The following is a 15813-nucleotide window of genomic DNA, read 5'->3' as shown; positions in this document are numbered from 1 at the left end:
CTGCAAGTAGGCTGGTGTTAATTACTTAAAATTGTACAGGAGGCATTAAACACAGGTAAAACACCAAAATAAGGGCATCCTTGATAAATAGTATGTACGTTAATTGCCGTTTGTTCATAACTGAAATGAATCAGAAAAGTCGACTTATGTAATACATTAGCAATACTTATTTGACTATTTTTTTACAAAATGAATAGCCACTTATTTCCCATTTTATTTGGTTTATAAGTTATTTTTATACATATTAAATTGTTTTTTAAAAGGTCATTATTGGACTAGTGACAAGTACCACATTTCTCATTAAAGGTGTGATGATTTGAGGGAGGTTCTAACATTTGATGATGACATATCATTTATGGTACATTTACTGTTATTTAAATGGTAAAATGCAGCATTTATGAGTCATAATCATATCTTCAGCTCCATTGTTTTCAATGAATGTTAGCCTCTAACATTGACAGTTTCCAAGGCATGATAAAACTTGTTTTCCATTTGTGGAAATAAACACCTCACCCGAACACTGTTACTTTTAGTCTTAAAACATAAAAGTTATTGTACAATTTTAAGCTAAAGAAATGCCATTGCTGATTTTATACTTAAGAATAAATATATATTCATATAATAGTTTATGGCAGTTTCTACTATTTCATAAGGGGTTTATATATTTGTGTCCCTTTGGTATAACTGGTATTGTGTGTGAAGTGTTTGTGAACGTGAACAGTAGAGTTGTTTCATTAAAATTAACAGGGTGCAGTATTTTAGTGCCAAATTAAATCAAGTAAAGTGAACTACCAGGACATTGTAATTAAAAGAAATAACAGCAACTTAACATTTTTATACCAGAAGCATCATTATCAGTGTCCCCTGAATTTGGGGGTGCTAGGCATGGCATCTAGAAATGGCTTTTGATTTATTTTCAATGTTTCCAAAAAAAAGTGCAGCAAATATTTACTTCAGTGCATTTTTTCCCCCATGAATAACCACCAATAAAAAATGCATCGTTTCTTGTCCTCCAGGCAATACAGCTAAAGTATACATTGAGATTCAGGATGAAAATAATCATCCCCCAGTGTTTCAGAAAAAATTCTACATCGGAGGTGTATCTGAAGATGCAAGAATGTTTACTTCTGTACTCAGAGTGAAGGTATGCGGAATTATGTTAATATACAGAACTAAAGTAAAAGCTCAGGTTTTGCAGATAAGCTGTAAGCCTGTAGTTTGCATTAACTGCATACTTATGCTGTATAAACAAAAGCCTGAAACTTGGAGCTATATTAGTTTAGTTATCTAAACTCAATACAGATTATATCAGGTAAACACTAAGCAACTTCTTGAGTTTCATTTTACTATGAAAATGGTAACAAAATACTTACGATGTTTTACATTGAATAAGATGTTGAAATGTATATCTTTTCTTAATGGTTTGTATTCCTCCAGTAGGATAACTCAAAAGATTCTCAAAATGAAATCTCTAATGACAAATATAAAATTACCACTTCTAATAGAAGAAATAGTGGAATAAATTAACCATTTTTTTCTGAAATTGTGAATTTTAAATGCTGATTGAATGAAAGTAAAAAAATAACACTACCAGTTTTAGTACTTTACTAAAAGTTACAAAAACCTTGATGTCTCAGAGAATGTTGGCTTACTTGGAATTTCAAAAATGCAGTATCTAAGACCAAAGTTGTAAGTTTTCAATTTTTTTCTTTATTTATCATCAAATGTTTATTACTAATTACTCTTATAATAGTTTATAATCAAATGTTTATGACTATTTCTAATCAACTGTGTATTACTAATGTTTTATTACTAAGAAAAAATTTTAAAGATTGAATTTTACTGAGGAAAAAGTTTAGATGCTAAACATTTTGGATTCTCAATTGCGGAGTTAATTTTGGACAGCATTTCAATGGTTAACTTGTAAATAGCTGTAAATTGCACATAAAACCTAAACATCTCTGGCAAATCTAGCTTTTGATTGCTTCTAGTTTTGCACATGAGTAATTGCCTTTCTTTTCCTATTACCAGGAGCACCATGATTAGAGCTCTTCTTACGTGTAGTTTTATCACCTATCAAACACTCTCAGTAAGAAAAAAAATTCAACCTAATTGGGTTGGGCTTGCAAAATAGCTCTTCCACTATGCTAAGTACAGACCCCTGACCTGAATCACCAGTTTAACTAAAAGTAGTCCACAAATCTGTCATTCATTACATTTAATTTATGTTGTTATCCACAAGTAGGAATCCTTTGTAGCTGATTTTTATCTTATTTTATATTTTAGTCTCATTAACTCTTAATTGATTTAGTTCTATCATTTAGTCAAATATGTTTGAGTACCTATAATGTGCTAAACACTGTTCTAGAAGTTTGATATAGAGCAATTGACAAAGCAAACAAACAAACAAAGTTTCCACCCGAGTAATGCAGACAAACTAGTTGAAGAAATGAATAGATGAGTAAGTTATGTAGTGATAAATTCTAAGGAAACAAAAAAGTTTGATAAGGGAAGAATGAGAGTGGTGCAATTTTAGATAAGAAAGTTAAGATAGTTCTTTTTGGATAAAACTGAAACAGTGACCTGAATAAAGGAAAAGATCAAGACATGGATTCTTAAGTGAGCAGCATTCTGGGATTTCTCTGTAAAGCCCTAAAGGTAGACAGGGAGCTGGAGGCTAGTGTGAATGAAAAAGTCTGGTAGGAAATGAGATCAGAAATGTACCTGGGGCTAGAATATGGGATTCGTTCTAGGTGTGTTGGAAAGAAAGCCTTTGAATGATTTAAACAGTTATGACATCATCCAATATAAAAAGATTATTGTAGATGCTGCATGGGGGATGTTGGGAATGGGTAACACAGTGTTTTGGACAAGTAGAGTTTAATGCATGACGAGTCCAGGAAAAATTTGACGGTAGCTTGAACGACGTTGATAGGCTATGGAGACCTTGAGAAGGGGGTTAAAGGATAGAACATATAGGATTTGCCGATGAATCATACATGGGACATTAGGAAAAATCAAGAATGACTTGGTGGTTTTTGTCCTGAACAGATCCCCATACCTCCTCCACTGCCTATTGTGATGGCAGTAATCAAGGTTTGGGAGGCTTTTTCAATACAGAAACCTAATTCTTGGCAAGGCATTTGCAAATGCTGATCTAGACTTGAGAGAGAAATAAGGGGCCAAGATGAAATCACCCTGAAAATGGGTTTGACAAAAAAAATACGAAGACTAAGCTTTGGGAATTTCAGCACTTAGAGATCAGGAGAAGAAGGGTTTGGGGATACTGAGATGTTGCTGCCATGAGGTGACAGGAATACAGGGAAAATGCAAGGTCCCTGAACCATGGAAAGAACAAGATTGATAAAAGAGGATCGTTGACTGTCAGATGCTACTGTGATTAGAATGCCCTTGTGGATTTTTACATCACCACTTATGTTACTAATCCTATAGTGTGATGTAGGAAAAAAAGATAAGCCAAATGTTAAACTAGTCCATTAATAAAGGAGATTACTCAAAAGGCATGTGATGACTATAACAAGGAAATTTAGTGGGTGGCATTATCTGATGGGATTTACTTCAGAGGAATTGGGACAGAGTGTCAAAGGAGACAGAAGGATGCTTGCCCTGTACTCCTGGGCTCTGTGCTATGTAAATTATGGTAGCCACTACTGGGAGATCTACAGAAAGCAGCATCTTTTGTCGAGGATGGTTAGAGGGAGAAAGAAGGAATCAAAAAGTATAGGTAATACTCAGAGGGAAAGTTGAACATTTAGGGGATTTTGTTGATGATGGTCTGTGATTTCCAAGGGATTCTGGCGAAAGTTTGGTAGTAGTGTAAAAGTCAGGTGAGAAACTGAGTCTTAATAAGGTGTGTAAAGACATTGCATTGAAAGAAGCATCAGGGTGAGGACATATGCCCTGGACAGAATGCATGGACTTCTTCAGATGAAGTATACAGTGTTGGGATTGATTGTGTCTCCAGACTACTGAGAACTCTAAGGAACCCTCCCCCTTCAAACTATCAGTGGGTAATTCAGACTAGGGAAAGGGGTCCTTTCTAGGAAACCAACTTCATGCAATATAATATACTAGGTACTTTATACAATAGTGAGAGAAAGAGGGGAGAGAGAGACAGACAGAGAGAGGGGGGGAGAGAGAGAGAGAGAGAGAGAGAAAGTTTAGAGAGAGAGAGAAAGAATGTGTTTATGCAAGTGTATGCTATAATAATAAAGTCAAGTAGCAGAGCGCAAATTGTCTTGTGGATTCAAAGGAAGAAAACATTTCAGTTGGTGAATGAACATAAAGGTTTCCTGGAGGATGAAGAATTTAAGACTAGCACTGAAGGGTGGTTAGATTTTTTTTTCCAAAGTGAAACATATGTGAGGAAGACACAGTCTAAGTAGAGGAAACAAACTAAGTAAGCCAAAACTCAGAAGAAACAAAGTGCAGAGCGTATCTGAGTGATAGGAGGCAAGGGATTTACGAGCGGAAGGGAGTAATAAATACTTAATGTTTAACAATTCCAGTTGCTGCCTTTAGCCTTGAAGCCTGAAATCTCCTTTCCAGAATTTAATCAGAGCATGAGTTAAGCAGTTCTTCTCATTTTATACTTAGAGCAACAAAAATATTAATGCAAACAGCACTGAATCAGGACCAGTTCAGCTGTGGTGTTTGAAGGAAGGAAAGATGATTTTAAAAATGGGAAGTAGCCCATGATTGTGAAAGAGGTGTTTCTACCAATTGCTATACAATATTAGGTAATGGTAGATCATCTACCATGCATACAAGTTAATTTTTTTTGGTCCATGATATAACGCAGAATGATAAAAGTTAAATGTAAATATGTGCTTTGTGTAAGAAGGGAAAGAAGAAATGTGACATAGAATAAGATTGACAAAGTAAGATAAGACTTTGAAATAGCAGTGAATAAGGCTATATTAGCTTAAAAGATGAGTAGTGAATTTGGGGCATTATTTTTAAAATATGCTACAGGTAAAGTGACACAATAAAAACATTGTTGAAGTGAATTATCCAATATAAGTAATAACATAATAAAGACAATTGTATATCTGCTCTGAAGTGGTATACCTAATATACTTAAAAACTTAGGTTCTAAGTTCATTTTTTTAAAGAAAATATATACTGTGTTCTTACTCTGTACTGAAAATATGGAAGCAACAAAAATAGGCTCTCTCTACCCTTACAGAAGCCACATTCTAGTAAACTAGACCACCCCCCCCCGAAAAAAAGTAAATAAATAAAAACATATGTTATAATTAAATCTAGATGGACAAAATACCTAATTTAGTTTCAGTTCATGTTTATACTATAGTGAGTGGAAAATAATATAATTATCTGAAATTTAGGTGAAGGTGAGTTTTAAATTATTCTGTTTGTACCACTGAGTTAATTTAGGTGAAGTCTCTGGTTTTAATATACTCACATTGTCTGAGTATAGTAGACACCATTAGTTGGCTATTTCTCCTACCTCACACTTTAACAGAATTTCAGTTTTATTTAGGTATTATTTTTGGGGATCATGTGCTTCAGGGGAAGTGAAGCCTATTCCAAAGTGGTGAAAAATGGCTGGTCAGAGCCAATCATGCCTGTCCTGTTACCTTTGCAAATGATTGGTTTGCACGTGGATATGTGAGTCATTTTTGAGCAGTGATTGTTAAGGGAGGTCTCCTGAGGATTTTCTAGGACAAAGATATATACAGACATGTAGATACTTGATTTCTGGCTCAATAATTTGAAGGCTCATGTCACATTTAAGTACATGAATTGTATCAAAAGTGCACAGAACAAAAAGTTATCTGAGAAGATCTATATTTACTATGGTTTCATGCTGGGTATCTGTGTCACAACTGGTTCTACGAAGTTGATTTCCGTTAGTGACAAGTAATCAGTCATTTTAATTATGAGGAGTGCGAAAAGAAAATCCAATGGTAATTCGTTTTTCTTTAGTCTTTAAAACAATTAGTTAATATCAGTTAAAATATAACTCTTACTATATACTTAAAATAATTGAAACCAAAGACTTGATCATGTATTTGTACACCCATGTTCATAGAAGTGCTATTTACAACAACTAAAAATTAGAAACAACCCATATGGGGCCGGGTGCGGTGGCTCATGCCTGTAATCCCAGCACTTTGGGAGGCCGAGGCGGGCGGATCACGAGGTCAGGAGATCCAGACCATCCTGGCTAACACGGTGAAACCCCCGTCTCTACTAAAAATACAAAAAATTAGCCAGGCGTGGTGGTGGGCACCTGTAGTCCCAGCTACTCGGGAGGCTGAGGCAGGAGATTGGCATGAACCCAGGAGGCGGAGCTTGCAGTGAGCCGAAATCACGCCACTGCACTCCAGCCTGGGCGACAGAGCGAGACTCTGTCTCAAAAAAAAAAAAAAAAAAAAAAAAAGGGAAAAGAAACAACACATATGTTCATCTATAGATGAATGAATAAACAAAATGTGATATACACATACAATGGAATATTATTTAGTCCTAAAGGGAAATAAATTCTAATACATGTTACATCATGGATTAATGAGGACATCATGCTCTGTGAAATAACCTAGACATGGGCAAATATTGTATGACTCTACTTACCTAGAGTAGGCAAATTCATAAAGACAGAAAGCAGAATATTGGCTGCCAGGGTTTAGGGGTGAAGTGGGAGGAGGTAAATGGGAAGCTGTTGTTTAATGGCTACTCTGTTACCGTTTGGGAAGAAGAAGACGTTTTGAGCATGAATGGCAGTGGTATTTGCAGAACAATGTGAATACACTTAATGTCAATGAACTGTACACTGAAAAGTGGTTGAAATGCTAACTTTTGTGTTACGTACATTTTACCACAGTAAAGAAAAAGAGGAGAGAGGGCATCACTTTTATTGAAAGAATGTGAACACCTTTTTTAAACTATTTTTAATTTATAAAATGTTTTAAACTTTAAAATTTTTTAAACTATATTTAATTTAATTCATTCCTTTGAAGCTCTTATGAATGTGAAGCTTATGTTCAAATTCAGAAGTAAAGATTTATATTAGTCAATTTATTTTTCTTGACTATGTACTGCGTTTTTAAACATTTTATTTCATAAAACACCAGTTGCAACAATATGGGAGTGATGTGCATTGTGGGAACATGCTAATCCTCTCAGCCTGTCAGGAGGCCATATAGAATCTGCATTACCTTGTATGTTGAAAAAGCCTCCCCACAATTCTGAGTCCTCCTTCTCTAGGGCAGGCCATTAGTTGAACATCATTAACTGAAATGTCCTACACCAGCGGTCCCCAACCTTTTTGGCACCAGGGCCTGGTTTTGTGGAAAACAATTTTTTCACAGACAGGAGTGCAGAGGGGGATGGTTTGGGGATGACTGAAGTGCATCACATTTATTATGCACTTTATTTCTATTATTATTACATCGTAATATATAATGAAATAATGATAAAACTCGCCATAATGTAGAATCAGTGGAAGCCCTGATCTTGTTTTTCTGAAACTAGATGGTCCCATCTGGGTGTGATGAGAGACAGTGACAGATCATCAGGCATTAGGTTCTCATAAGGTTTGTGCAACCTGGAACCCTTTCATGCGCAGGTCACGATAGGGTTTATGTTCCTATAAGAACCTGATGCTGCCACTGATCTTACAGGAGGCAGAGCTCAGGAGGTTATGTGAGCCATGAAGAGTAGCTATTAATACAAATGAAGCTTCACTCAGTCACCCACCACTCACTTCCTGCTGTGTGGCCCAGTTCTTAACAGGTCACCGACTGGTAGTTGTCCATGGCCTGAGGGTTGGGGACCCCTGTCCTACACTAATGAAAAATGACTGATGAATATGGTTACATCAGAATAGCAGACTCCTGCAACAAGGGTGCTATAAATGACTGAGTGAAGCAATATGTTAAAAGCAAATACTCACGACATCTATTAAAAAATATATATCTCAAAGGAGCAGTATCCAGAATATAGAAAGAACTGTAAAAAAGCAACTATGTAGTCAACAAAAAAGAAATAGAAAAAGTGATGAATACTTGTAATATTTGTAATTTTTTGTGTGAAGAAGGAAAGTTGAAGCTAGGCCTTTGAACATTAACTTTTTGTTTCTGCTGGGCTTTGAAGAAATGTTAATGGATAAATATTCCCTAATTCATAATAATAACTGTGGTTTATTTGTCATTATTATTTTTCTGAGAACTGTGAAATGTCATTTACTTATTTTAGCCTACACTCTTTAAATAAATAAATAAAATGAATAAATAAAATAATATCAATTAAAATAAAACAAGTAAATTTAAACATTGATTTATGCAGTAGATGCAATTATTTCTTATTGCACTTTTGGGAAAATTGAAGCTCAGTAAGTCTGGATAACTTTCCTAGTATTACTCAGCCAAATACCCAGTGAAGTTGGAATTTAAAGTTAGGTCTACCTCAGTTCAAGAACTTTTCTTGTAACCTCTTACATTGCTTCCCAGGAGAAATGAGGCGTAGAATCCTGCTAGAAAATAAGAGAACATACTAACTTTCTGTGAAAAATTAGGAGACAAGTAAAAAGGCAACCGATTTCTTTTCAACTTGAGATGAACTGTGTAAATTGTGACACCCCCTGTTAAGGTAACAAGTAAGATTTGATTTTAAAAACACTTTTCAAATTGTTAACTAATTTTTCCAGTTTATTGCATGTTGTCTTAACTGCAAAAATAGCATTTATTGCAAATACAGGGAGATGTTAAATGTGATCAAGATTAATTTTAAAAAACTCTGAATTATGAAGATATTTTCCAGAAGTTAATGCAGTGAGGATTAATCTCATTCTTTACAAGTTGCACATATGGAAAAACAGTGTCAGAAGAATTGAGTTATAATGTTGATTTGATCTCTACTGAAAGTTAAAAAGATTTTGAATATTCTATTTTTGAATTATTAAAGATGCCAAATTTAAGAAATTTATGGACTAAAAGAAAATAATATTGTGAAAAAGCAGCAAGAAAAAAGACTTAACACTTAATGGCTGATTGTTTATTACATTTTCAAAAGCACAAACTGGTGATGAGAGGTTTCAGCAGAGTGATGCCGTAGATAGAAAAAAGCCACAGTCATGGTCAGAGGATGCAAATTTCCTTAGTAGCAAAAGGTATAGAAATGTACAAGGTTAACAATGTAGGGTAATACATAATGTTTCTAGACAGAGGTTAGGGCTCCTGGGGGCTCCTGGGGGCTCCTGGTCTCTAGCCCTATACCTGCTCACCTGGGTCTTAGGTAAAACATCTCCAGCACATTTCTGAATTTTTAATGTATTTTCCCCAAGTAGCATCTCTTTAATTTACAGAGAACAGTGCATCACAGGAGCAATAAGTAACCTTCCCAACATGTGCAGCTAATTGGGAGTGAGGCTACAATTTACAGCCTGGCATTCTGCTTCCGAGACCAAGCTCAACCACGTTTCCAGTGGAAGAGCACTGGACTGACATTCTAATCACCTGGATTTAGTTCTGGGCATGCTCTTATCTCTCTGTGAGACTTTATGCTCCATCACTCTGTGCCACAGATATCTTCTCACATAAATATTGCTGTAGAAGCAGGTGCCCTTTAAAATCTTTAAGCTGATGGTTTGCTTATTTATGTGTTATTTACTGTTACAATGTCAAGTGTCCTGTGACAACTGTTATACTTGAGAACCACATTTTAGAGGTCAAATAGCGTAGATTACTTAGTTCTGAAATCAAAATCACCATTTATGTTTTACAGTATTTGTGGTTTATGTTACTTGAAAGCTAGTGAGTTATTTTGTGACAATTTTCTTCCTAGTTACATATAGAACAGATGCAAACAAGAACCAGCCTGAAGTAAAGGTCCAATAAAACACTAATTTTGGTTCCCCATTGCCAAGTATGAGGAAACTCTCTCATGGTTTCAAGGGAGAGGTGTTTTCACAAGGTCTTACTAATCACTGGTTTCCTTCCATCTATGGCCATACCACCCTGAATGCGCCCGATCTCGTCTGGTTTCCTTCATGTTTTGGCACGGTGTTTGACCTTGTGTGGTTTGTACTTTGAACAAAGCAAACATATGTAGGTGTCTGAGGGTGCATTGCCTTCTTGACTATGACCCTGTAACTGAATCACTATATGTCTAGTTTAGCACTTAAACCAATTATACTGTTATCGTTTATCTGTGTGCATGATTTTCCTACTAGAATTTAAATTTCATCTAAGCAGACATTATGTTTTCCCATCAACTTAAAGACATTATATATTGGGCTTAACATTTCAAATTGGTGTTTGTTTAAAATTTTATTTATTGATTTTAATTTAGTTTATTTTATTTCAATAATTTTTGGGTACAACAAACCCCCCTGACACAAGTTTACCCATATAGCAAACCTGCACTTGTACCCCTGGGTTTTAAAAAAAGTTTAGCAAAAAAGTATTTTGGGGAGAACAAGTGGTTTTTGGCTACATGGATAAGTTCTTTAGTGATGATTTCTGAGATTTTGGTGCACCTGTCATCTAAGCAGCATACACTGTACCCATTGTGTAGTCTTTTACCCCTCACCTTCCTCCCACTCTGTCCCCCGAGTCCCCAAAATTCATTGTATTATTCTTATGCCTTTGCGTCCTCATAGCTTAGCTCCCACTTGCAGATGAGAACATACAGTATTTGGTTTTCCATTCCTGAGTTACTTCACTTAGAATAATGGCCTCCAACTCCATCCAGGTTGCTGTAAATGCCATTATTTCAATCCTTTTTATGGCTGACTAGTATTCAATGGTGTATATATACCACATTTTCTTTATCCACTCATTGGTTGATGGGCATTTAGGCTAGTTCCAGATTTTTTGCAATTGCAAATTGTGCTGCTATAAACGTGTGTGCAAGTACCTTTTTCATATAATGACTTCTTAAAATTTTATTTATTTATTTTTACATATACTCATGTCTTTTAACCTGTTTAACATATGTTGCATGAATGATCATTTCAAATTAGTAAAATACATTTTACATTAAACTCTTTTGGGCTGATTACAACACAGAATAACATCACCCTGGACTTCCCTGTGGGTTTCACTTCTTGCCAAATTAGAAACTCAGACTTGATGACAGCTTTATGAATGTTATCCATGTATCATAGTTTTACATTTATTTAGCCTCACTGGTGACATCAAATGTGAAGATTTTTTTTTTCCTGAACAACTGGGCTATTTTTGTTATATGATCACAGGCTATACTGTACTTAATATTTTCCTTTTGTTTTTTTCCACCGACACTCAAAGTCAAATATTTGATCCATCTTTGGCAATTTTAGAAGATGAATGCAATACAAATTGTGGTATACTGACTTTCTCTGATTTCCTTTATATATTTTACGTTTACTCTCTATCATCTTTTCTTTCAATTATTTTTAGATTATATCATATATTTTTAGAAAATACTTCACATTCATTTTGAAATTCTGTGGCACAAATGCAGACAGATGATTACAAAAAAATCTATTCTGTTTCTACACTGTATTCTGTATTTTATTTTTAAAGAATATATCGCTGTTACTATAGTCACCATGTTGTACAATATATCCCTTTACCTTATTCCTCCTATATAACTGAAACTTGATATTCCGTTTCAAATAGTCTAATCCTGCATTTTCTCCTGTACTAGTTGAGAACCATAAAAAACATTACCAGTTGCTGATACATAGCATTTCTCCTTATTAGTCTGAACAAGTAAAACATTCTTGTTATGTTCTTTTAATATAAGTGGACAAGATGAAGTCTATTTTAGATGTCAGTTGAGTATACAATGAAATAATTCTGCATATGTTTTACTCTTCTTCCCCCTCTCCACACAAATCAGTTTGTTTGTTATTGTAGAAGGGACACCAAAAAATATCATTCTCCTAGCAAACAATTTATGCCTATTAATTTGAATGTAATTTAATTAAAAATTGCTTTAATTCGTATTACTTATAATAGAAATCGGACTACTTTTCCCAGACTATAATTATCTGAAGAATGAGGGAAGCTTGGATGTTTCAAAATCGATGAGGCCGGTCCCAGTGGCTCACGCCTGTAATCCCAGAACTTTGGGAGGCCGGGGCGGGTGGATCACGAGGTCAGGAGTTCAAGACCAGCCTGGCCAAGATGGTGAAACCCAGTCTCTACTAAAAACTACAAAAAATTAGCCGGGTGCAGTGGCAGGCGCCTGTAATCCCAGCTACTCAAGAGGCTGAGGCAGGAGAATTGCTTGAATCCAGGCGTCTGAGGTTGCAGTGAGCCAAGATGCCACCACGGCACTCCGGCCTGGGCGACAGAGACTCTGTCTTGGAAAAAAAAAAAAAAAAAAAAAAAACATAGATGTAAAGCTGCTCTGATAACTGGAAACTTTTTTGTTTGTTTGTTTTGATATGGAGTGTTGCTCTGTCACCCAGGGTGGAGTGCATTGGCATGATCTCGGCTCACTGCAACCTTCACCTCCCTGGTTCAAGCAATTCCCCTGCCTCAGCATCCCAAGTAGCTGGGATTACAGGTGAAAGCCACACCCAGCTAACTTTTTTGTATTTTTTTTTTTTTTTTATTTTTAGTAAAGACAGGGTTTCACCATGTTGGCCAGACTGGTCTCGAAACCCTGACCTCAGGCAGTCTGCCTACCTTGGCCTCCCAAAATGCTGGGATTACAGGCATGAGCCACAACGACCAGCCTGGATACTTTATTTTTAAAGTAGAGAGTTTAAGGACTTTTTATGAATTTGAAGAGCCATTGGACATGATACATGAAAATAAAGTAGTTTATTTGGTAAATGGCCAAATAATTTTGCCTTTCCTAAACTTGCTGGTGGCTCATATATTTTAAAGTTTGAGTGCACTCTAGCAGTATTAGAAATTTATTAAATGTCTTTGTATCTCTCAGATGATTAAATGTGTAACAATCCAAGGTATAGGTATGGAATACTATTTTTGGAGGTAAGCTTGCATTTACTTTTAGGAGGTTTTATAAGTTTTAGAGTAGTGATGATTGTGTGTACTCTCCTATATTATGTTTCAAAGGCCACATCCTCCATCATCTGTAGAGCAAGAATACTGACATTTGGTTCTCCCTTTGAAAATCTCAGAATTTTTCTGAAAGTGAAGGCTGCATTGCAAGGCACAATTCAGAAGATAAATTGGGCAAATAAAAATTACTTTTGTCTGAAGATGTCCTGTAATGTCTTGAACCTCCATTAACTTTGTGCTGTACTGACCTGACACAGGAGATCTATAACACGAATATAAGGGGAAAAAATGAGGAAAATGAGCTTTTAAAAATTGTTTATTCATACTTCTATAAATGTATCTTAATTTTGAATTGTCTATCAATATTTCCAATAAGAACGGTAAAGTACAAGAGTTCCTTAAAATGCGTTATGAAGAAAGTTTAGTTCCAAATAAGCCATAAGAAATAAATGATTCTTCCTATTAGTTTCAATTAATTTACCTTAAGGGAAACCCGCAGGCCTGGAGAGAGATTTTATGCATAAAGAGAATACAATTTGCACTGGTTAGTTGTAATTCACTGAAAATCTGAGAATTGCAGAGACTTTAAAATTTTTTTATTTTTCCTTTTTTTTCAAAAACAGGCAATGAAATGCCTGGATTCACAAAAATGCATTCTAGTGAACAAAAATAACATCTAAACTAGGCATCTCCATCAAGTTGATCCAGAAACTTTATGTGGTAGCTACACTAGTTTTTATAAAGATAATTCTCTCTTTAATAATGTTTCATTTTACTCATTTCCAGGATTTCTCCCCCTAGACATTTATGGTCTCTTAGAAACCCAGTAATCTAGAAAAGGACAAAAGTCAGTGAGGCTCATAGTAATTTGAAAGACTATCAACACCTGAAGCCAATAGACCCCAAGATATGTTGAATGCTGATATCAAAAGAATTTTTTTGTTCTTTTTTTTGAGACAGTGTCTCACTCTGTCGCCCAGGCTGGACATGCAGTGGCACCATCTCAGCTCACTGCAACCTCCGCCTCCAGGTTCAAGCGATTCTCCTGCCTCAGCCTCCCGAGTAGCTGGGACTACAGGCATGTGCCACCAAGTCTAGCTAATTTTTTGTATTTTTAGTAGAGATGGTGTTTCACCGTATTAGCCAGGATGGTCTCGATCTCCTGACCTTGTGATCCGCCTGCATCGGCCTTCCAAAGTGCTGGGATTACAGGCATGAGCCACTGTGCCCAGCCTAAAAGAATATTTTTGATGTATAATTTTTATTACAAGCTGCATACATAATGCAACCTGCATATGCAAAATCACACAGATTCTAAGTGTGCAGCTAGATAAATATTTACAAAGTGAACACGGTAGTGTAACCAGTGCCCAGGTCAAGAAACAGAGCATTACCAGTTCCTGCTCCACATCCCCGTAAGAATAACTAGTATGACTTCCAACCATAAATTTGTTTTTCTTGTTTACGATATTTTTATAGACTTAGGAAAATTGTATTTTTTGTTTAGATTCATTTTCTCACACTATATTTGTGAGATTCATCTATGTTATTATTGCATGTAGTAATAATTGATTCATTTTCATTGCTCTAGAGAATTTCATTGTACAAATATATTACAGTTAATATATCCTATATACTGTCCATATAAGTTGTTTGGGGTTTCTTAATATTACAAATATACTTAGGAGTAGAAATTCTAGGTAAGGGGATATTCATAAGTTCAGACTTAATAGATAGATAATATCAAACTGTTTTCAAAAATGTTTTACTAATTTATATCCCCTCAGCAGTATCTGAGAACTTCAGTTGCTTCACAATTTGATTTTGTCTGATTTTTTTTTTTAGTCACTGTGATGAACATGTGATGGTTTCTTGTGCTTCGTTTACCATTCCCTAGTAGTTAAGATAGTCAAATGTCTCTTTATATATTTTTTGCCAGTATTTGTATCCTCTTTATGTGGCGACTATTTTGGTCTCTTTCTAACATTTTTCTCTGGACATTCTGTTGTTTGTTTTGTTTTCTCATTAAGTCTTTAGAATTCTTTATATACTCTGGATTGCATATCTTTATTCAATATATGTATTGGATATATCGTCTCCCAAGGTATGGCTTGCATTTTCACCCTATTTTTTATGCTTTTTCATGAGCAGAAACTTTTAATACAATTTATTATTTTTTCATGTTGAGCAACTTTTTGTCTTGTTTAAAAGCTCTTTGAGTAACACAAAAACATGACTTTTTTAAGTTTATTTCCAAAAATTTTATTTCATATTTTATGTTTAGATTTACAGTCCATATGGGATTTTTTTGTGTGTTTGGAGTGATGTAGGAGGTCAAGATTTTTTTTTTTTTATTTCCCATGTGGATATTTAATTGACCAGCATCATTTTCTAAAGAGACCATTTTTTTTCTCCACTCTACTTGACGTGTTCTCTCTGTTCTAAGTCAAATGGTCATGGATGTAAAGGCTTATTTCTGAATACTTTATTCTATTTCATTGACCTGTTTGTCTTTGCATCATTCTGCTATCTGAATTACTATAGTTTTATAATATCTGATAGTGTAAGTCTTCTGCTTATTTTTTTGTCTTCAAGGTTTGTTGGCTTCTCTTGGCTCTCTCTGTGTGCTCATTACCAAATAAGGTTTAGAATCAGCTTATCAATTTCCACAGGAGATATATATATATATATATATATATATATATATATATATATCAAACTTAACTGCTAGGGAATTGAAAACAAACCATAAGAAACCAACACATGTTCATCACAATGACTAAAAAAAAAAAAAAAAAAAAAACAG

General features: G+C 35.0%; 1 protein-coding gene across 19 annotated transcripts in view; it reads left to right on the top strand.

The window, feature by feature from the left end:
* PCDH15 (protocadherin related 15) overlaps window positions 1-15813 on the top strand; it is a 1825172-nt gene that overhangs the window by 1723556 nt on the left and 85803 nt on the right. For all 19 annotated transcript variants that reach the window (XM_047425663.1, NM_001354420.2, NM_001354429.2 and 16 more), the window contains one exon: window positions 1017-1144. In XM_047425663.1, the coding sequence (XP_047281619.1) occupies window positions 1017-1144 (128 nt within the window). The remainder of the gene's footprint in view (window positions 1-1016; window positions 1145-15813) is intronic.

Source organism: Homo sapiens, chromosome 10, assembly GCF_000001405.40.
Source record: "Homo sapiens chromosome 10, GRCh38.p14 Primary Assembly".
NCBI lineage: Eukaryota > Metazoa > Chordata > Mammalia > Primates > Hominidae > Homo > Homo sapiens.
This window is presented reverse-complemented; position numbering and strand designations above follow the sequence as displayed.